The 22,096-nt window shown below is 36.7% G+C and overlaps 1 long non-coding RNA gene across 3 annotated transcripts in view; it reads left to right on the top strand.

The window, feature by feature from the left end:
* The first annotated feature begins 35 nt into the window (after window positions 1-35).
* Window positions 36-22,096, top strand: part of LOC102724068 (uncharacterized) — a 96,106-nt gene continuing 74,045 nt past the window's right edge. For 2 of the 3 annotated variants that reach the window (XR_001740935.3, XR_001740934.3), the window contains exons 1-2: window positions 36-300; window positions 21,208-21,343. This is a non-coding gene — a long non-coding RNA (uncharacterized LOC102724068). The remainder of the gene's footprint in view (window positions 301-21,207; window positions 21,344-22,096) is intronic. The other variant, XR_007096116.1, reaches the window with a different exon arrangement.

Genomic DNA, 22,096 nt, shown 5'->3' with positions numbered 1-22,096 from the left:
TACATATATCAGTCTGAGGGTATTTGCTTATGTCACAATCCCTGTCTCTCTACCATGCTAGGTAGATAGCAGGATGCGGCCTTGTGGGTGGTAGCTGGTATGTTGGTGGAAACTCCATGCTTCCATGGAACCAGCTGTAGAGGAGTGGTGATGCAATGAGCATCCTGGAAGTTTAGTTGTCATTTGTCACCTTTTGGATAATGGAGTAGATTTCTGAAGCTATTTCTCCTTGTTTGGTGTTCTGCCTGCAATTTGGACAAGTGGACTTCAGATTATGTCTTCGTAGACTGAAAGGCTTGGGTATGGTTAATTAGAAAAGTAGATTCACATGGTTTTCCACATGTTAGAGGAATTGATAGAATTCTATTTGAACAAAGGACAGTGTTTACAAATAATAGCAATGCCATATTTAAAGAGATATCACCATTCAGAGAAAGAGTTAAAGAAAAAAATATATAGGTTCACTTAGGAACTTCTTTCAGTAGTAATTGATTTTATCAATCAATGCATAGTCGCTGCTCATTTTCATGAAGCTTTATACTTAAGTCACTCTGAATATTTCTTGGGTTTTTTGTAGCTGCATGGTGTTTGGGTGAGGTTCAAGCTTTCTGTCTTTTCCCCATCCTACCCCCACTCCAAAAAGAGGCTGGAACTCTACATTAAATCTTTAACTGTTCTGCTAGTATATGCTCAGTATTCCTAGAAAAAAGACCCTATATTTTAGGGAAGAATTTCACCTTCCCATTTAAGCAGCTTGCAAAGATTAAAAGAACAGAAATTTCATGGTCATAGTACATTATAGTATGAATACTGTCTTGTTTTTAGAAAAAGAAGCAGAAGTGAGAGCTGAGTTTAGCTGCAGGAATTTACTGCATAATTTAGTATCTCCCCCTATGGTTATCACCTTTATAATAGAGAAAATCACTGAGTGCCAACTATGCCAGCCACACATTGATATTAGATTTCTACAAGTGAAAATCCCGGCTCTTAGGGTATGTCCTTTATCTTTTTTTAAGGCAAACTGCTAAATTTCTTACTCAAATAAATGTGCCAGTTAATACCAGCAAGGAACATACAACATTCAAAAAAGTGAAACTCCTTTTCCTCACGTTTGCCAAAACTCAGTTTTATCAATCTCTCTCTCCATCCTCCAGGCACATAGGTTAGAGTTTCATTCCCAGATTTATGATACATTTTCACTATTGGTTTCTATAAGGTCTTATTAAAAACTTATTAATATGTAATTCACTTACCATTAAAGTCACCATTTTAGAGTAAACAATTAAATGGTTTTCAGTATATTCATAAAATTGTGCAACTCTCACCATTATCTAATTCCAAAATATTTTCATCACCCCCGTAAAACACTCATTAGCAGTCTCTCCCTGTTCCTCCTTTCCCTCAGCCCTTAGCAGTTACTCTACTTTTCTGTATTTATGGATTTGTCTATTCTGGAGATTTCATATAAATGCTATCATATAATGTGTGGCTTTTGTGTCTGGCTTTAATTTAGTATAATGTTTTCAAGGTTTATCTGTGTTATAGCATGTATCAGTATTTTTTTATGGCTGAATAATTTCACATGGATATACCACATTGTATTCATTGTCAGTTAATGGACATTTAGATTGTTTTCACGTTTTAGCTGTTAAATGTTTAAATGTTTCTGTGAGCATTTGTGTATACATTTTTTTTGTGTGAGCATTTTTGTAGAAATATGTTTCCAGTTCTTTTGGGTAGGTTCCTAGGTGTGGGATCATATGGTAACCCTATGTTTAACTTTTTGAGGAAATGCCAAGCTGTTTTTCAAAGTGACTGCACAATTTTACATTCCCACCAGCAATGTATGAGAATTACCATTTCTCCACATCGTTTTCCAAACTTCTTGTCTTTTTTTTCTTCTGATTATAGCTATTATAGTAGGTATAAAGTAGGATCTCTTTGTGATTTACATTTGGATTTCCCTGATGGCTAGTGATGTTGAGAATCTTTTCATGTCCTTATAGGACATTTGTATGCCTTCTTTAGAGAAATGTCTATTTAAATCTTTTGCCCATTTAAAAATGGAGTTAATATCTTTTTATTGTTGAGTTGTCAGAGCTCTTTGTATTAGCTAGATACTAGACCCTAACCAGATATGATTTGCATCTATTTTCTCCATTCTATGGTTGTCTTTACATTTTTAAATGGTGTCCTTTGAAGCACAAAAGGTTTTAATTTTGATGAAGTCAAATTTATCTCTATTTTTTTTGTAGCTTGCCCATTTGGTGTCATTTAAGAAACCACTGCCCAATCCAAGGCCATGAAGATTTACACCTATGTAATCCTATAATAAATAGCTTTATAGTTTGAGCTCTTACACTGAGGTATTTGAATTATTTTGAATTGTTTTTGTATTTGGTGGGAGTTAGGGGCCCAATTTCATTCTGTTGCATGTGAATATCCAATTGCCATAGCAACATTTGTTGAAAAGACTATTGTTTCCCATTGAGTAGTCTTGAAACCCTTGTTGAAAATCAACTCACCATAGATATATGATTTATTACTGGACTCTGAATGCTATTTCTTTGATCTATATGTCTATCCTTGTGCTAGCCACACCATCTTGATTACTGCAGCTGTGTAGTATGTTTTGAAATTGGAAAGTGTGAGTACTCCACTTTTGTTTCTGTTTTAACATTATCTTGTATTTTCATATAAATTTTAGGATCAGCACTACTACTTTTTGTGCAAAAGTCCACTAGAATTTTGATAGCTATTGCATTAAGTCTGTGGATAAATTTGGGGAGAATTGCCATGTTAAGTTTCCTGATCCACGAACACAGAATATTTCACTATTTATTTAGGTCACCTTTAATTTCTTTCAACAATATTTTGTAGTTTCCATTGTACAGGTCTTGCACTTATATGGTTAAATTTATTCCTAAGCATTTCATTCTTTTGATGCTACTGTAAATAAAATTGATTTTCTTTATATTTGGATTGTTCATTGTTAGTGTGTAGAAATACAACTGATTTTTAATAGGGCCATTTATATTGACTTCTGTGTATATCTTGCAACCTTGCTGAAATCACTATTAGCTCTATTTTTAAAATTTATTTTAAAGGGTTTATATATATAACTTTGTGTTATCTGTGAATAAAGATATTTTCAGTTTTTCCTTTCTAATTTAGATGGCCCTTTTTTATTTTCCTTGCCTAATTTCCCTGGTTAGATCTTCAAGTACAATGTTAAATAGAATTGGCAAGAGTGGACATCCTTGTGTTGTTCCTAATCTTAAGGGAAAAAATTTTAGTTTTTCAACATTAACTATGGCATTCGCTGTCGGTTATTTACAGATGTCCTTTTATCAGATTCAGTTGTATTATTTGATTTTCATATGCTGAGTCAATTTAATAATCAAATTAATTATTTGATTTTCATATGTTGAGTCAATTTTCTGTTCCTGACATAAATCCCATTTCATAATGATGTAATTTTATATTTTGTTGGATTTGGATTGCTAGTATTCTGTTGAGAAATTTTTTAACAGACTAAGACAATATGATTTATTATTCTGAAGTAAATATACGGTTTATAAATATACAGGAACCTGTGATTCCCATCAAGTTCCTGGTAGGAACAAAATGGCACTCAAATTAATTTGTAGAAAAATTGGTTTCTCTTAAATGCAAATCAAAACCACAATGAGATACCATCTCTCACCAGTTAGAATGGTGATCATTAAAAAGTCAGGAAACAACAGGTGCTGGAGAGGATGTGGAGAAATAGGAACACTTTTACACTGTTGGTGGGACTGTAAACTAGTTCAACCATTGTGGAAGTCAGTGTGGTGATTCCTCAGGGATCTAGAACTAGGAATACCATTTGACCCAGCAATCCCATTACTGGGTATATACCCAAAGGATTATAAATCATGCTGCTATAAAGACACATGTGCACATATATTTACTGTGGCACTATTCACAATAGCAAAGACTTGGAACCAAGCCAAATGTCCAACAATGATAGACTGGATTAAGAAAATGTGGCACATATACATCATGGAATAGTATGCAGCCATAAAAAATGATGAGTTCATGTCCTTTGTAGGGACATGGATGAAGCTGGAAACCATCATTCTCAGCAAACTATCGCAAAGACAAAAAACCAAACACCGCATGTTCTCACTCATAGGTGGGAATTGAACAATGAGAACACATGGACACAGGAAGGGGAACATCACACACCGGGGCCTGTTGTGGGGTGGGGGGAGTGGGGAGGGATAGTGTTAGGAGATATACCTAATGTTAAATGATGAGTTAATGGGTGTAGCACACCAACATGGCATATGTATGCATATGTAACTAACCTGCACGTTGTGCATATGTACCTTAAAACTTAAAGTATAATAAAAATAAGAAAAATTGGTTTCTCTTTTTTTAAAAAATTTAACTTTAAGTTCTGGGATACATGTGCTGAATGTGCAGGTTTGTTACATAGCTATACATGTGCCATGGTGGTTTGCTGCACCTATTAACCCATCATCTACGTTTTAAGCCCACATACATTAGGTATTTGTCCTAATGCTCTCCTTCCCCTTTCCCTCACCCCGCTACAGGCTCTGGTGTGTGATGTTCCCTTCCCTGTGTTCAACTCCCACTTGTGAGTGAGAACGTGCAGTATTTGGTTTTCTGTTCCTGTGTTAATTTGCTGACGATGATGGTTTCCAGGTTCATCCATGTCCCTGCAAAGGACATGAACTCCTTCTTTTTAATGGCTGCATAGTATTCCATATTGTATATGTGCCACATTTTCTTTATCCAGTCTGTCATTGATGGGCATTTGGGTTGGCTCCAAGTCTTTGCTATTGTAAATAGTGCTGCAATAAACATACGTGTGCATGTTCTTTATAGTAGAATGATTTATAATCCTTTGGGTATATACCCAGTAATGGGATTGCTGGGTCAAATGGTATTTGATTCTAGATCCTTGAGGAATTGCCACACTTTCTTCCACAATGGTTGAAGTAATTTACACTCCTACCAACAGTGTAAAAGCGCTCCTGTTTCTCCACATCCTCACCAGGATCTATTGTTTCCAGACTTCTTAATGATCGCCGTTCTAATTGGTATGAGATGGTATCTCATTATGGTCTTGATTTGCATTACTCTAATGACCAGTGATAATGACCTTTTTTTCATATGTTTGTTGGCCGCATAAATGTCTTCTTTTGGGAAGTGTCTGTTCATATCCTTTGCCCACTTTTTGATGGGGTTGTTTTCTTCTTGTAAATTTGTTTAAGTTCCTTGTAGACTCTGGATATTAGACCTTTGTCAGATGGATAGATTGCAAAAATTTTCTCCCATTCTGTAGGTTGCCTGTTCACTCTAATGCTAGTTTCTTTTGCTGAGCAGAAACTCTTTAGTTTAATTAGATCCCATTTGTCAATTTTGGCTTTTGTTGCAATTGCTTTTGGTGTTTTAGTCATGGGTCTTTGCCCATGCCTATGTCCTGAATGGTACTGCCTAGGTTTTCTTCTAGGGTTTTTATGGTTTTAGGTTTTATGTTTAAGTCTTTAATCCATCTCATGTTAATTTTTGTAGAAGGTGTAAGGAAGGGGTCCAGGTTCTGTTTTCTACATATGGCAAGCCAATTTTCCCAGAACCATTTATTAAATAGGGAATCCTTTCCCCATTGCTTGTTTTTGCCAGGTTTGTTGAAGATCAGGTGGTTGTAGATGTGTGATGTTATTTCTGGGGTCTCTGTTCTGTTCCATTGGTCTATATATCTGTTTTGCTACCAGTACCATGCTGTTTTGGTTCCTGTAGCCTTGTAGTGTAGTTTGAAGTCAGGTAGCATGATGCCTCCAGATTTGTTCTTTTTGCTTAGGATTGTCTCGGCTATATGGGCTTTTTGGTTCCATATGAAATTTAAAGTAGTTTTTTTCTAGTTCTGTGAAGAAAGTCAATGGTAGCGTGATGGGGATAGCATTGAATCTACAAATTACTTTGGGGGGTATGGGCATTTTCATGATATTCTTCCTATCCATGAGCATGGATTGTTTTTTCATTTGTTTGTGTCCTCTCTTATTTCCTTGAGCAGTGGATTGAAGTTCTCCTTGAAGAGGTCCTTCACGTCCATTGTAAGTTGTATTCCTACGTATTTTATTTTCTTTTTTTTTTCTTTTTTTTTTTTTTTTTTTGAGACGGAGTCTCTCTCTGTCGCCCAGGCTGGAGTGCAGTGGCGGGATCTCGGCTCACTGCAAGCTCCGCCTCCCGGGTTCACGCCATTTTCCTGCCTCAGCCTCCCAAGTAGCTGGGACTACAGGCGCCCGCCACTACGCCCGGCTAATTTTTTTTTTTTTTTTTTGTATTTTTAGTAGAGACGGGGTTTCACCGTTTTAGCCGGGATGGTCTCGATCTCCTGACCTCGTGATCCGCCCGCCTCAGCCTCCCAAAGTGCTGGGATTACAGGCGTGAGCCACCGCGCCCAGCCGACCGTATTTTATTTTCTTTGTAGCAATTGTGAATGGGAGTTCACTCATGATTTGGCTCTCTGCTTTTCTATTATTGGTATATAGGAATGCTTGTGATTTTTGTGCATTGATTTTGTATCCTGAGACTTTGCTGAAGTATATCAGCTTAAGGAATTTTTTGGACTGAGTCTGTTGAGAAATTTTATATTTATATTCATAAAGGTTATTGGTCTGCAGTTTTACTTTCTTGTGATGTCTTTGGTTTGGTATCAAGATAATGCTGACCTCATAAAATGAGTTATCAAGTGTTTATCTTCCTTTAATTTTTTGAAGGGTTTGTGAAGGATTGGTGTTAATTTTTCTTTAAATATTTGGATTTAAGTTACTGTTTGGTATCCTTTTTTTATCAGCCTGAAGAATTCCCTTTAGTATTTTTTTATGGCTGACCTGCTTACAATAAATTCAGGTTTTGCTTATTTTGGATGTCTTAATTTTTCCTTCATTTTTGAAGGAAAGTTTTGATGGACATAAAGTTCTTGGTTGACAGTTATTTTTTTTCAGCACTCTGCATATGTCATTCCATTTCCCCCTGGCTTCCATTACTTCTTTTTTTTTGTCTTTAATTTTTGTGGGTACATAATAGATGTATACATTCATGGGGTACATGAGATATTTTGATACATACAGTGCATAATAATAATAGGACAGTACATAATAATAATAGGATAAATGGAGTATCCATCACCTCAAGTATTTATCCTTTCTTTGTGTTACAAGCAAGGACTCCAATCATACTTTTTAAGTTATTTTTAAATGTACAATAAATTATTATGGACTGTGATCACCCTATTATGCTATCAAAGAGTAGATATTATTCATTCTACCTACCTATATTTTTGTGTCCATTAATCATCCCCATTTCCCCCCACTCCACTACCCTTCCCAGACCCTGGTAACCTTCTTTCTACTCTCTATCTCCATGAGTCAATTGTTTTTAATTTTTAGCTCTTTTGAATAAGTGAGAAAATGAGAAGTTTGTCTTTCTGTGCTTGGCGAATTTCACTTAACATATTGGCTTCCAGTACCTTCCGTATTGTTGCAAAAGACAGGATCTCATTATTTTTATGGCTGAATAGTACTGCATTTTGTATATGTACCTTATTTTCTATATCCCTTCATCTGTTGATGGACACTTAGTTTGCTTCTAAATCTTGGCTATTGTGAATAGTGCTGCGACAAATATGAGAGTGAGATGTCTCTTAAATATACTGATTTCCTTTCTTTGGGGTATATACCTAGCAGTGGGATTGCTGGATCATATGGTAGCTCTATTTTTAGTTTTTTGAGGAATCTCTAAACTTTTCTTCATAGTGGTTGTATTAATTTACATTTCCTCCAACAATGTATAAGGATTACCTTTTCTCCACATCCTCGCCAGCATTTGTTATTGTCTGTCTTTTGGATAAAAGCATTTTTACCTGAGGTGAGATGATATATCATTGTACTTTTGATTTGCATTTCTCTGATGATCAATGATGTGGAGCACCCTTCCATATACCTGTTTGCCATTTATATGTCGTTTGAGAAATGTCTATTCAGATCTTTTGCCCATTTTATTTATTTATTTTTAAAATTTTGTTAATTTTATTTAATTTTTAATTTTTTTATTTTCACAGGTTATTGGGGAACAGGTGGTGTTTGGTTACATGAGTAAGTTCTTTAGTGGTGATTTGTGAGATTTTGTTTCACCCATCACCCGAAAAGAATACAGTACATGCAGTTGGTAATCTTTTATCCCTCATCCCCTTCCCACCTTTTTCCTCTGAGTCCCCAAAGTCCATTGTGTCATTTTTATGCCTTTTGCATCCTCATAGCTTAGCTCCCACTTATCAGTGAGAACATACAATGTTTGGTTTTCCATTTCTGAGTCACTTCACTTAGAATAATATTCTCCAGTTTCATCCAGGTTGCTGCAAATGCTATTAATTCATTCCTTTTATGACTGAGTAGTATTTCGTCATATATATATATATATATATATATATATATATATATATATATATATATATATATACCACAGTTTCTTCATCCACTCATTGATTGATAGGCATTTGGGTTGGTTTCACACTTTTGCTATTGTGAATTGTGCTGCTGTAAACATGCATATGCAAATATCTTTTTCGTATAATTTTCCTTATACGAAATTTTCCTTATACTTATTTTCCTCTGGGTAGATACCCAGTAGTGGGATTGCTTTTGTAGTAGTTCTACTTTTAGTTCTTTAAGGAATCTCCACACTGTTTTCCATAGTGATTTTGTGCTAGTTTAAATTCCCACCAGCAGTGTAGAAGTGTTTCCTGTTGACTGCATCCAAGCCAGCATCTATTATTTTTTTATTATGGCCATTCTTGCAAGAGTAAGGTGGTATAGCATTGTGGTTTTGATTTGCATTTCCCTGATCATTAGTGATGTTGAGCATTTTTTTTCATATGTTTGTTGGTAGTTTGTAAATCTTCTTTTGAGAATTGTCTATTCATGTCCTTAGCCCACTTTTTGATGATTTTTTTTTTCTTGCTAATTTGAGTTCATTGTAGATTCTGGATATTAGTTCTTTGTTGGACGTATAGATTGTGAAGATTTTCTCCCCATCTGTGAGTTGTCTGTTACTCTGCTGATGGTTCCTTTTGCCATGCAAAAGCTCTTTAGTTTAATTAAGTCACAGCTATTTATGTTTGTTTTTATTGCGTTTGCTTTTGGGATCTTGGTCATTAAATCCTTGCCTAAGCCAATGTCTAGAAGGGTTTTTCTGATGCTATCTTCTAGAATTTTTACAGTTTTATGTCTTAGATTTAAGTCTGTGATCCATCTTCAGTTGACTTTTGCAAAAGGTGAGAGATGATCAAGTTTCATTCTTCTACATGTGGCTTGCCAATTATCCCAGCACCATGTGTTGAATAAGGTGTTCTTTCCCCACTTTGTTTTTGTTTGCTTTGTCAAATATCAGTTGGCTGTAAGTATTTGGCTTTGTTTCTGCATTCTCTATTCTATTCCATTGGTCTGTGTGCCTATTTTTATACCAGTACCATGCTGTTTTGGTGACATGGCCTTATGGTGTAGTTTGAAGTCGGGTAATGTGATCCTTCCAGATTTGTTCTTTTTGCTTAGTCTTACTTTGATGATGCAGGCTCTTTTTTGGTTCCAAATGAATTTTAGGATTATTTTTTCTAGTTCTGTGAAGAATGATGGTGGTATTTTGGTGGGAATTGTGTTGAATTTGTGGATTGCTTTTGGCAGTATGGTCATTTTCACAATATTGATTCTACCCATCCATGAGCATGGAATGTGTTTGCATTTGTTTGTGTTGTCTATGATTTCTTTCAGCAGTGTCTTGTAGTTTTCCTTGTAGAGGTCTTTCACCTCCTAGGTTAGGTATATTCCTAAGTATTTTGTTTTATTTTTTGTAGCCATTATAAAAGGGGTTGAGTTCTTGATTTCATTCTCCACTTGATCACCATTTGCTTATAAGAGAGCTACCAATTTGTGTATGTTAATTTTGCATCCAAAAACTTTGCTGAATTTTTTTTAAATCAGCTCTAGGAGCTTTTTGGAGGAGTCTTTAGGGTTTCTAGGTATAGAATCATATCATCAGCAAGCAGCAACAGTTTGACTTCCTCTTTATTGGTTTGGGTGCCCTTTCTTTCTCTTGTCTGATGGCTCTGGCTAGGACTTCCAGTACTGTGTTGAATAGAAGTGGTGAGAGTGGGCATCCTTGTCCTATTCCACTTCCCAGAGGGAACGCTTTCAACTTTTTCCCATTCAGTATTATATTGGCTGTAGGTTTGTCATAGATGGCTTTTATTACATTGAGATATGTCCCTTAATATGCTGATTTTGCTGAGTTTTAATCATAAAAGCGTGGTGGATTTTGTTGAATGCTTTTTCTGCACTTATTGAGATGTTCATGTGATTTTTGTTTTTAATTCTGCTTATGTGGTATATCACATTTATTAACTTGCATGTGTTAAATCATCTCGGCATCCCTGGTATGGAACCCATTTGATCATGGTGGATTATCTTTTTGATATGTTGTTGGATTCGGTTAGCTAGTATTTTGTTAAGGATGTTTGCATCTATGTTCATCAGGGATATTGGGCTATAGTTTTCTTTTTTTGGTTAAGTCCTTTCCTGGTTTTGGTATTGGGATAATACTGGCTTCATAGAATGATTTAGGGAGGATTCCCTCTTTATCTTATGGAATAGTGTCAATAGGATTCGTACCAATTCTTCTTTGAATGTCTGATAGAATTCAGCCATGAGTCTGTCTGGTGCTGGACTTTTTTTGTTGGTAATTTTAAAATTACTGTTTCAATCTCCCTGCTTGTTATTGGTCTGTTCACAGTATCTAATTCTTACTGATTCAGGAGGGTTGTAGCTTTCCAGAAACTTATCCATCTCCTTTAGGTTTTCTAGTTTATGTGTGTAAAGGTGTTCATAGTAGCCCTGAATGATCTTTTGTACTTCAGTAGTGTCAGTTGTAATATCTCCTATTTCATTTCTTATTGAGCTTATTTGGAGTTTCTCTCTTCTTTTCTTGGTTAATCTTGCTAATGGTCCATCAATTTTATTTATCTTTTCCAAGCACCAGCTTTTTGTTTTATTTATCTTTTGTAAGTTTTTTGTTTCAATTTCATTTAGTTCTGCTCTGATCTGTGTTATTTCCTTTCTTCTGCTGGGTTTGGGTTTGATTTGTTCTTGTTTCTCTAGTTTCTTGAGGTGTAACCTTAGATTGTCTATTTGTGCTCTTTCAGACTTTTTGTGTCTCTTGAAGGCATTTAGGGCTATGAACTTTCCTCTTAGCACTGCCTTTGCTGTATCCCAGAGGTTTTGATAGGTTGTGTTACTATTGTCATTCAGTCAGATCAAAGAAATTTTTAAATTTCCATCTTGATTTCATTTTTGATCCAATGATCATTTAGGAGCAGTTTATTTAATTTCAATGTATTTGCATGGTTTTGAAGGTTCCTTTTGGAGTTGATTTGCAGTTTTCTTCCACTGTGGTCTGAGAGAGTGCTGGATATAATTTTAATTTTCTTAAATTTATTGAGGCTCATTTTGTGGCCTATTATATGGTCTGTCTTGGAGAAAGTTCCATGTACTGACGAATAGAATATATATTCTATGGTTTTTCGTTAAAATGTTGTATAAATATCTGTTAAGTCCATTTGTTCTAGGGTATAGTTTAAGTCCATTGTTTCTTTTTTGACTTTCTGTCTTGATGACCTGTCTACTGCTGTCAGTGGAGTATTGAAGTCCCCCACTATTATTGTGTTGCTGTCTATCTCATTTCTTAGGTCTAGTAGTAATTGTTTTATAAATTTTGGAGCTCCAGTGTTAGGTGCATATATATTTAGGATTGTGGTATTTTCCGGTTGAACAAGGCCTTTTACCATTACATAATGTCCCTCTTTGTCTTTAACTGCTGTTGCTTTAAAGTTTGTTTTGTCTGATATAAGAATAGCTACTCCTGCTCATTTTTTATGTCCATTTGCATGGACTATCTTTTTCCACTCCTTTACCTTAAGTTTATGTGAGTCCTTTTGTGTTAGGTGAGTCTCTTGAAGGCAGTAGATATTTGGTTGGTGAATTCTTATCCATTCTGCAATTCTGTATTTTTTTTTTTGAGACAGAGTCTTGCTCTGTTGCCCAGGCTGGAGTGCAGTGGCACGATCTCGGCTCACTGCAAGCTCCGCCTCCTGGGTTCACACCATTCTGCTGCCTCAGCCTCCCGAGTAGATGGGACTACAGGCGCCCGCCACAATGCCCAGCTAATTTTCTGTATTTTTAGTAGAGACAGGGTTTCACTGTGTTAGCCAAGTTGGTCTTGATCTCCTGACCTCATGATCTGCCCGCCTCAGCCTCCCAAAGTGCTAGGATTACAGGCGTGAGCCACCGCACCCAGCCCAATTATGTATTTTTTAGGTGGAGCATTTAGGCCATTTACATTCAATGTTAGTAGTGAGATGGAAGGTACTATTCCATTCATTGGAATACATTTATTGTATTTTTTAATGGTTTCTTTGAGATTTATGCTTTAAAAAGGCTCTGTTTTGATGTGTTTCCAGGATTTGTTTCAAGATTTAGAGCTCCTTTTAGCAGTTCTTGTAGTGCTGGCTTGGTAGTGGTGAATTCTTTCAGCATTTGTCTGAAAAAGACTGTATCTTTTCTTCATTAATGAAGGTTAGTGTCACTGGATACAAAATTCTTGGCTGATATCTGTTTTGTTTAAGGAAGCTGATCATGCCCCATTCCTTTCTGACTTGTAGGATTTCTGCTGAGAAATCTGCTGTTAATCTGATAGGTTTTCCAGTGCTTTTGCCTCACAGCTCTTAAGATTCCTTTCTTTCTCTCAACTTTAGATAACCTGATGACATTGTGCCTAGGCAATGATCTCTTTGCGGTGAATTTTCCAGGTGTTCTTTGAGCTTCTTGTAGTTAGATATCTAGATCTCTAGCAAGGCCAGGGAAGTTTTTCTTGATTATTTCCCCAAATATGTTTTCCAAACTTTCAGATTTCTCTTCTTTCTCAGGAATATTTCTCTTCTTCCTAAGAATAATAATTCTTGTTAGGTTAACATAATGCTAGACTTCTTGGAGGCTTTGTTGGTATTTTCTTATTTTTTTTCCTTTGTCTTTGTTGGATTGGGTTAATTTGAAAACTTTGTTTTTGAGTTCTTAAGTTCTTTCTTCTGCTTGTTTGATTCTATTGCTGAGGCTTTCCAGAGCATTTTGCATTGCAATAAGTGCATCCATTTTTTCTGAAGTTTTGATTGCTTTTTATCTATGTTATTTATTTCATTGAAGATTTCTCCCTTCATTTCTTGTATCATTTTTTTCAACTTCCTTAAATTGGGCTTTGTCTTTCTCTGGTGCCTCCTTGATTAGCTTAATAACTGCCCTTCTCAATTCTTTTTCAGGTAAATCAGGGATTTTTTTCTTGGTTTGGATCCGTTGCCAGTGAGCTAGTGTGATTTTTGGGGGGTGTTAATGAGCCTTGTTTTGTCATATTACCAGAGTTGGTTTTCTGTTCCTTCTTATTTGGGTGGGCTCTGTCAGAGGGAATGTCTAGGGCTCAAGGCTGTTGTTCAAATTCTTTTGTCCCACACGGTGTTCCCTTGATGTAGTACTCTGCCCATTTTCCTAGGGATGTGGCTTCCTGAGAGCCAAGCTGTAGTGATTGTTATCTCTCTTTTAAATCTAGCCACCCAGCAGGTTTACCAGGCTCCGGGTTGCTACTGGGGGTTGTCTGCACAGAGTCCTGTGATGTGAACCGTCTGTGGGTCTCTCAGCCATGGATAACAGCATAGCATTTGGGCTGTCTCCTGGGTCCTGCAGGAGCAATCTGCTTTCTTCCGTGGATATGTGGGTTCCCTCAGCTTTCCTGACTTACTTGTGCGGTGGTTCTGGAGTAAGAGTTCATAATGTGAGACTCCACAAGCTCCTCTGTTCGTCTGAGTGGAGCTACAGTTTAGTTTTGCCTCCCATCTGCCATGATCCCCTTTTGCCCATTTTTAAATAGCAGTATTAGATGTTTTCCTATAGATGTTGTTTGAGCTCCTTATATATTCTGGTTATTAATCCCTTATCAGATAAATAATTTGCAAATATTCTCTCTTATTCTGTGGGTTATCTCTTCACTTTGTTAATTGTTTCCTTTGGTGTGCAGAAGGTTTATAACTTGATGTGATCCCATTTGTTCAGTTTTGCCTTGGTTTCCTCTGCTTGTGGGGTATTCCTTAAGAAATTTTTGCCCAGAACAATGTCCTGGAGAGCTTCCCCAATGTTGTCTTGTAGGAGTTTCATAGTTTGATGTCTTAGATTTAAGTCTCTAATTGATTTTAATTTGATTTTTCTATATGGCGAGAGATAGGGGTCTAGTTTCATTTTTCTGCATAAAGATATTCAGTTTTCTGGCACCATTTATTGAAAAGACTGTCTTTTCTCCAGTGTACATTCTTGGCACCTTTTTTGAAAGTGAGTTCACTGTAAGTATGTGGATTATTTTCTGTTTCATTGGTCTCTGTTTTATGTCAGTACCATACTGTTTTGGTTACTATAGCTCTGTGTTACAATTTGAAATCAGGCAATATGATTTTTCTAGTTTTGTTCATTTTGCTCAGGACAGCTTTGGCTATTCTGGGTCTTTTTTGGTTTCATATAAATTTTTGGATGATTCTTTTTCTATTTCTGTGAAAAATGTTATTGGTATCTTGATAAGGGTTGCATTAGATCTGTAGATTGCTTTGGGAAGTATGGACATTTTAACAATATATTGACTCTTTCAGTTCATGAATATGGAATACCTTTCCATCTTTTGTCTCCTCTTCACTTTCTTCAATAAATGTTTTGTAGTTTTCATTATAGAGCTCTTTTACTTCTTTGGTTAAGTTACTTCCTATGTATTTAATTTCATTTATAGCTATTGTAAATGGAATTACTTTATTGATTTCTTTTTCAGATTGTTCGCTGTTGGCATATAGAAATGCTGCGGATTTTTATATATTGATTTTGTATCCTAGAATTTTACTAAATTTGTTTATGAGATCTAACAGTTTTTTTGTGGACTCTTTAGGTTTTTTCAAATATAAGATTATATCATCTACAAACAAGGATAGTTTTACTTCTTCCTTTTCAATTTGGATGCTCTTTATTTCTTTCTCTTGTCTGATTGCTCCAGCTAAGACTTTTAGTGCTGTGTTGAATAACAGAGGCGAAAGTGGGCATCCTTGTCTTGCTTTAGATCTTAAAAGAAATTCTTTTGGTTTTTCCTTATTCAGTATGATACTAGTTATAGGTCTGTTGTATATGGCTTTTACTATGTTGAGGTATGTTCCTTCTATACCCAGTTTCTATGTCTGGGTGCTTTAGTGTTGGGTGCATATATAGTTACAATTGTTATATCATCTTTCTAAATTGACCTCTTTATCATTATATTATAACCTTCTTTGTAACTTTTTACAGTTTTTGTCCTGAAATCTATTTTCTCTGATATAAGTGTAGCTATTCCTTTTCTGTTTTGGTTTCCATTGGCATGAAATATCTTTTTCCATCCCTTTATATTTTAGTCTATGTGTGTCTTTATATGTAAAATGTGTTTCTTCTAGGCAACAGATTGTTAGGTCTTGCTTTTAAAAGATTCCATTCAGGCACTCTGTCTTTTGATTGGAGAGTTTAGTCCATTTACCGCCAATGTTCTTATTGGTAAGTAGGAACTTACTTCTGCCACTTTGTTATCTGTTTTCTGGATGTTTTGTGGTCTTGTCTTCCTTCTTTCTTCCTGTCTTCTTTTTAGTGAAGGTGATTTTCTCTGATGGCCTGTTTTAATTTCTTGCTTTACATTTTCTGTGTATCTGTTGTATGTCTTTTGACTAGAAGTTACTATGATGCTTGCAAATAATATCTTATAACCCAATTGTTTCCCCTCAGCTTTTAAGTTCAGGGGTGCATTTGCGGGATGTGTGGGTTTGTTACATAGGTAAACATGTGCCATGGTGGTTTGCTACACAGATCATCCCCTCACCTAGGTATTAAGCCCAGCATCCATTAGCTATTCTTCCTGAGGATATCCATCCCTGACAGGACCCAGTTTGTGTTGTTACCCCTTGTGTTGATGTGTTTTCATCATTCATCTCTCACTTATAAATGAAAACATGCAGTATTTGGTTTTCTGTCCCTGAGTTAGTTTGCTGAGGATAATGTCTTCCAGCTCCATCCATGTCCCTACAGAGGACATGATCTCATTCTTTTTATGGCTGTATAGTATTCCATGGTGTATATGTATCACATTTTCTATATCCAGTCTGTCATTGGTGGGCATTTAGGTTAATTCTATGTCTTTGCTATTGTGAATAGTGCTGCAAAGAACATATGGATGCATGTATCTTATTAAAGAATGATTTATATTCCTTTGGGTATATACCCAGTAATAAAATTGCTAGGTCAAATGGTATTTCTGCTTCTAGGTCCTTGGGAAATCCCCACACTCTTCCACAATGGTTGAACTAATTTCCACTCACACTAACAGTGCAAAAGCATTCTCTTTTCTCTGCAACCTCATCAGCATCTGTTGTATTTTGACCTTTTAATAGCCATTCTGACTTGCATAAGATGTATCTCATTGTGGTTTTGATTTGCATTTCTCTAATGATCAGTGATATTGAGCTTTTTTTCATGTGTTTTTTGGCCACATGTATGTCTTCTTTTGAGAGGTGTCTGTTCATGTCTGTTGCCCACTTTTTAATGGGGTTGTTTGGTTTTTTTCTTGTCAATTTAAGGTACTTGTAGACTCTGGATATTAGGCCTTTGTCAAATGGATAGATTACAAAATTTTTCTCCCATTCTGTAGGTTGTTTGTTCACTCTGATGATAGTTTCTTTTGCTGTGCAGAAGCTCTTTAGTTTAATTATATTCCATTTGCCAATTTTTGCTTTTATTGCAATTGCTTTTGGCATTTTCCTCATGAAATATTTACCCATGCCTATGTCCTAAATGGTATTGCCTATGTCCTAAATTGTATTGCCTAGATTTTCTTCTGGAGTTTTTATAGTTTTGGGTTTTACATTTAAGTCTTTAATTCATGTTGAGTTAATTTTTGTATATGGTGTAAGAAAGGGGTCCAGTTTCAATTTTCTGCATATAGCTAGCCAGTTCTCTCAGCACCATTTATTGAATAGAGACTCCTTTCCTCATTGCTTGCTTTTGTCAGTTTTGTCAAAGATCAGATGGTTTTAGGTGTGTGGTCTGATTTCTGAGTCCTCTATTCTGTTCCATTGGTCTATGTGTCTGTTCTTGTACCAGCACCATGCTGTTTTGGTTATTGTAGCCTTGTAGTATAGTTTGAAGTCGGGTAGTATGATACTTCCAGCTTTGTTCTTTTTGCTTAGGATTGCCTTGGCTATTTAGGCTCTTTTTTGGTTTCATATGAAGTTTAAAATAGTTTTTTTTCTAATTCTGTGAAGAATGTCAATGGTAGTTTAGTGGGAATAGCATTGAATCTATAAATTGTTTTAGACAGTATCACCATTTTCATAATATTGATTCTTCCTATCCACGAGCATGGAATGTTTGTCCATTTATTTGTGTCCTCTGATTTCTTTGAGCAGTGATTTGTAGATCCCTTAAATAGGTCCTTCACATCCCTTGTTAGCTGTATTTCTAGGTATTTTATTTTTTTGTGGCAGTTGTGAATGGAAGTTCATTCATGATTTGGCTCTTTGCCTGTTTTTGGTGCATAGGAATACCAGCAATTTTTGCACATTGATTTTGTATCCTGAGACTGTGCTGAAGTTGATATCAGTTTAAGGAGCATTTGGGCTGAGACAGTGGGGTCTTCTAGATACAGGATTAGGTCATCTTCAAAAAAACAAAGATAATCTGACTTCCTTTCTTCCTATTTGAATACCCTGTCTTTCTTTCTCTTGCCTGATTTGCCTGGCCAGAATTTCTAATACTATGTTGAATAGGAGTGATGAAAGTGGGCATCCTTTTCTTGTGCCGGTTTTCAAGTGGAATGCTTCCAGCTTTTGCCCATTCAGTATGATATTGGCTATGGGTTTGTCATAGATGGCTCTTATTATTTTGAAGTATGTTTATTCAATACCTAGTTTGAGAGTTTTTAACATGAAGGAATGTGAATTTTATCAAAGGCCTATTCTGTGTCTATTGAGATAATCATGTGTTTTTTGTCTTTGGTTTTGTTTTTGTGATGAATCACATTTATTGATATGCATATGCTGAACCAACCTTGTATCCCAGGGATGAAGGCAACTTGGTCGTGGTGGCTAAGCTTTTTGATGTGCTGCAGGATTTGGTTTGCCAATATTTTGTTGATAATTTTTGCATTGAGGTTTATCAAGGTTATTGGCTTGAAGTTTCCTTTTTTTGTTGTATCTCTGCCAGATGTCAGTCTCAGGATAATGCTGGCCTCATAGAATGAGTTAAGGAGGAGTCCCTTTTTTTCCAATTTTTTTGGAATAGTTTCAGTAGAAATGGCTCCAGCTCTTCTTTGTATCTCTGGTAGAATGTAGCTGTATATCTCTCTGGTCCTAGGCTTTTATTTATTGGTAGGCTATTTATTACTGCCTAAATTTCAGAACTCATTATTGGTCTATTCAGGGATTCAATTTCTTTCCAGTTCAGTTTTGGGAGGATGTATGTGTCCAGAAATTTATCCATTTCTTCTAGATTTTCTAGTTCATATGCATAAAGGTGTTTATAATATTCTCTGATGGTTGTTTGTGTTCCTGTGGCATCAGTGGTGATATCCACCTTGTCATTTCTGATTGTGTTTATTTGATTCTTCTCTCTTTTCCTCTTTATTAGACTAGCTAGCTGTCTATCTATTTTATTAATTTTTTTCAAAACACTGGCTCCTGGATTGATTCATTAATTTTTCTTGAAAGTATTTTTTTTTGTCTTTATCTCCTTCAGTTTAGTTCAGCTCTGATCTTGGTTATTTCTTGTGTTCTGCTAGTTTTGGGGTTTGATTGCTCTTGGTTCTCTAGTTCTTTTAGTTGTGATGTTAGGATGTCAATTTGAGATCTTTCTAGCTTTTTGATGTGGGCATTTAGTGCTATAAATGTCCCACTTAACACTGCTTTAACTGTGTCCCAGAGATTCTGGTACATTGTCTGTTTGTTATTAGTAGTTTTAAAGAACTTCTTGATTTCTGCCTTAATTTCATTATCTACCCAGGAGTCATTCAGGAGCAGGTTGTTCAATTTCCATGTAGTTGCATTGAGTAAATTCTTAATCTTGAGTTCTAATTTGATTGTGCTGTGGTCTGAGAGACTGTTTGTTATAATTTCAGTTCTTTTGCATTTGGTGAGGAGTGTTTTACTTGCAATTATGTGATGAATTTGGAGTAAGTGCCATGTGGCAATGAGAAGAATGCATATTCTCTTGTTTTGGGTGAAAAGTCCTGTAGATATCTATCAAGTCCACTTGAGCCAGAGCTGAGTTCAGGTCTTGAGTATCTTAATTTTTTATCTCGATGATGTATCTAATATTGTCAGTGGAGTGTTAAACTCTTCCACTATTATTGTATTGTAAGGGACTCTAAGTCTCTTTGAAGGTTTCTAAGAACTTGCTTTATGAGTGTGGGTGCTCCTGTATTGGGTGCATATATATTTAAGATAGCTCTTCTTGTTGAATTGAGCCCTTTACCATTACATAATGCCCTTCTTTGTCTTTTTTTCACCTTTGTTGGTTTAAATTCTGTTTTGTCAGAAACTAGGATTGCACCCCATGCTTTTTTCCATTTTCCATTTTCTTGGTAAAATTTCCTTCATCCCTTTATTTTGAACCTATGTGCATCTTTGCAGGTGAGATGGGTCTCTTAAAGACAGCATACTGATGGCTCTTGGCTCTTTATCCAGCTTGCCATTCTGTGTCTTTAAATTGGGGCATTTAGCCCATTTACATTTAAGATTAGTATTGTGATGTGTGAATTTGATCCATCATTGTGATGGTGGCCAGTTAGTTTGCAGACTTGTTTATTTGGTTGCTTCATAGTGTCACTGGTCTGTGGAATTCAGCCTGTTTTTGTAGTGGGTGGTAACAGTTTTTCCTTTCTTATTTAGTGTTTCTTTCAGGAGCTCTTACAAGCCTGGCCTGGTGGTGATGAATTCTCTCAGCATTTGCTTGTCTGAAAAGGATCTTATTTCTCCCTCACTTATGAAGCTTAGGTTTGACTGGATATGAAATTCTGGGTTGGAAATTCTTTTCTTTAAGAATGTTGAATATTGACCCCCAATCTCTTCTGGCTTGTAGGGTTTCTGCTGGGAAGTCTGCTGTTAGTCTGATGGGCTTCCCTTTGTAGGTGACCTGGCCTTTCTCTCTGGCTGCCCTTAACATTTTTTTTTCTCTCATTTCCACCTTGGAGGATCTGATAATTATGTGTTTTGGGGTTGACCTTCTCATGGGTTTCTTACTGGGGTTCTCTGCAGTTCCTCAATTTGAATGTTGGCCTGTCTTGCTACATTGGGGAACTTCTCCTAGATGATATCCTAAAGTATGTTTCCAATTTTGTTCCATTCTCCCTATCTCTTTCAGGTGCTCCAATCAATTGTAGGTTTGGTCCCTTTACATAATCCCATATTTCTCAGAGATTTTGTTCATTCCTTTTTATTTTTTTCTCCATTCTTGTCTGCTTGTCTTATTTCAGAAAGATAGTCTTCAAAGCTCTGATAGTCTTTCCTCTGCTTGGTCTAATCTGGCTTGTAAACTGTTGCTACTTGTGATTGCACTGTAAAGTTCTCATGTTGTGTTTTTCAGCACCATCAGGTCAGTTATGTTTCTTTCTAAACTGGCTATTCTGGTTATGAGCTCCTGTATTGCTTTATCATTATTCTTAGCTTTGCATTGGGTTACAACATGCTCCTTTAGCTCAGTGAAGTTCATTATTACCCATCTTCTGAAATCTACTTCTGCCAATTAAGCCACCTCAGCCTCTACCCAGTTCTATGCCCTTGCTGGAGAGGGATTGTGGTCATTTGGAGGAGAAGAGGCACTCTTGATTTCTGAGTTTTCAGCATTTTTGCATTGATTCTTTCTCATCTTTGTGGGCTTATCTACCTTCAGTTTTTGAGGTTGCTGACCTTTGAATAAGGTTTTTGTGGGGTATTTTTTTGTTGATGTTGTTTTTGTTTTCTGTTTGTTTGTCTGTTTGTTTTAACACGCCACTCTTCCATAGGACTACTTTGGTTTTCTGGGGGTCCACTTCAGACCCTAGTTGCCTTGGTTTTTCCCATACCTGGAGATGTCACCAGTGAAGCCTGGGAAACAGCAAAGAGGGCAGCCTGATCGTTCATCTGGAAACTTTGTTCCAGGTGGGTACTGACCTGTTGCCAGCCCAAGCATGCCTGTAAGAGGTGGCAGGAGACCCCTGTTAGGAGTTCTCACCAAGTCACAAGGAATGGGATCAGGGAACCTGCTTAAAGACACAGTCTGTCTACTTCTTTGTAGAGCAGGTGTCCTGTGTTGGTGGGGGGACCCTTCCTTGTCTAGACCATTTGGGTTCTTCAAAGCCTGGAATGGCTGCATCTATTGAACCACAGAGATGGCAGCTGCCCCTCCCCACTGGGAGCTCTGTCACAGGGAGAGATCAGAGCTCTATCCGTGGCTGGATTGGCTGAAGCCCCCACAGAGAAGTCCTGCCCAGTGAGGAGGAATGGATTGGGTTCCCTCTTAAGGAATCAGTCTGACCAGTCTGGCAAGGCAATTGTGCTGCCTTTTGGGGAACATTTCCTTGTCCAGACTCTTTGGGTTCTCCAACACTGGCAGGCTGGAATGGCTGAGTCTATCAAACTTCAGAGATGGTAACCACCCCTTTCTCTGGAAACTCAGTCACCTCTCAGGAAGATTTCAGCCTACTGCCATTGGCTAGCTGGAATTGCAAGCCAGTGGTTCTCATCTTGTGAGGTGATGTGGAAGTGGGGCCCACAGAAGAGTGCTGCTTGGCTCCCTGGATTCAGTCCCCTTCCTAGTGATACGTATAGACAGATATTCCACCTTGCTGGAGATCCTGGGGATGGAGAATATAAAACTCCTGGGTCTCTGTGTGTGCCTGAGTGGTTGCTCTG

The sequence above is a fragment of the Homo sapiens genome, chromosome 3, assembly GCF_000001405.40.
Source record: "Homo sapiens chromosome 3, GRCh38.p14 Primary Assembly".
Classification (NCBI taxonomy): domain Eukaryota; kingdom Metazoa; phylum Chordata; class Mammalia; order Primates; family Hominidae; genus Homo; species Homo sapiens.
The sequence above is the reverse complement of the archived record's forward strand: the minus strand, read 5'-3'. Positions and strand labels throughout refer to the sequence as shown.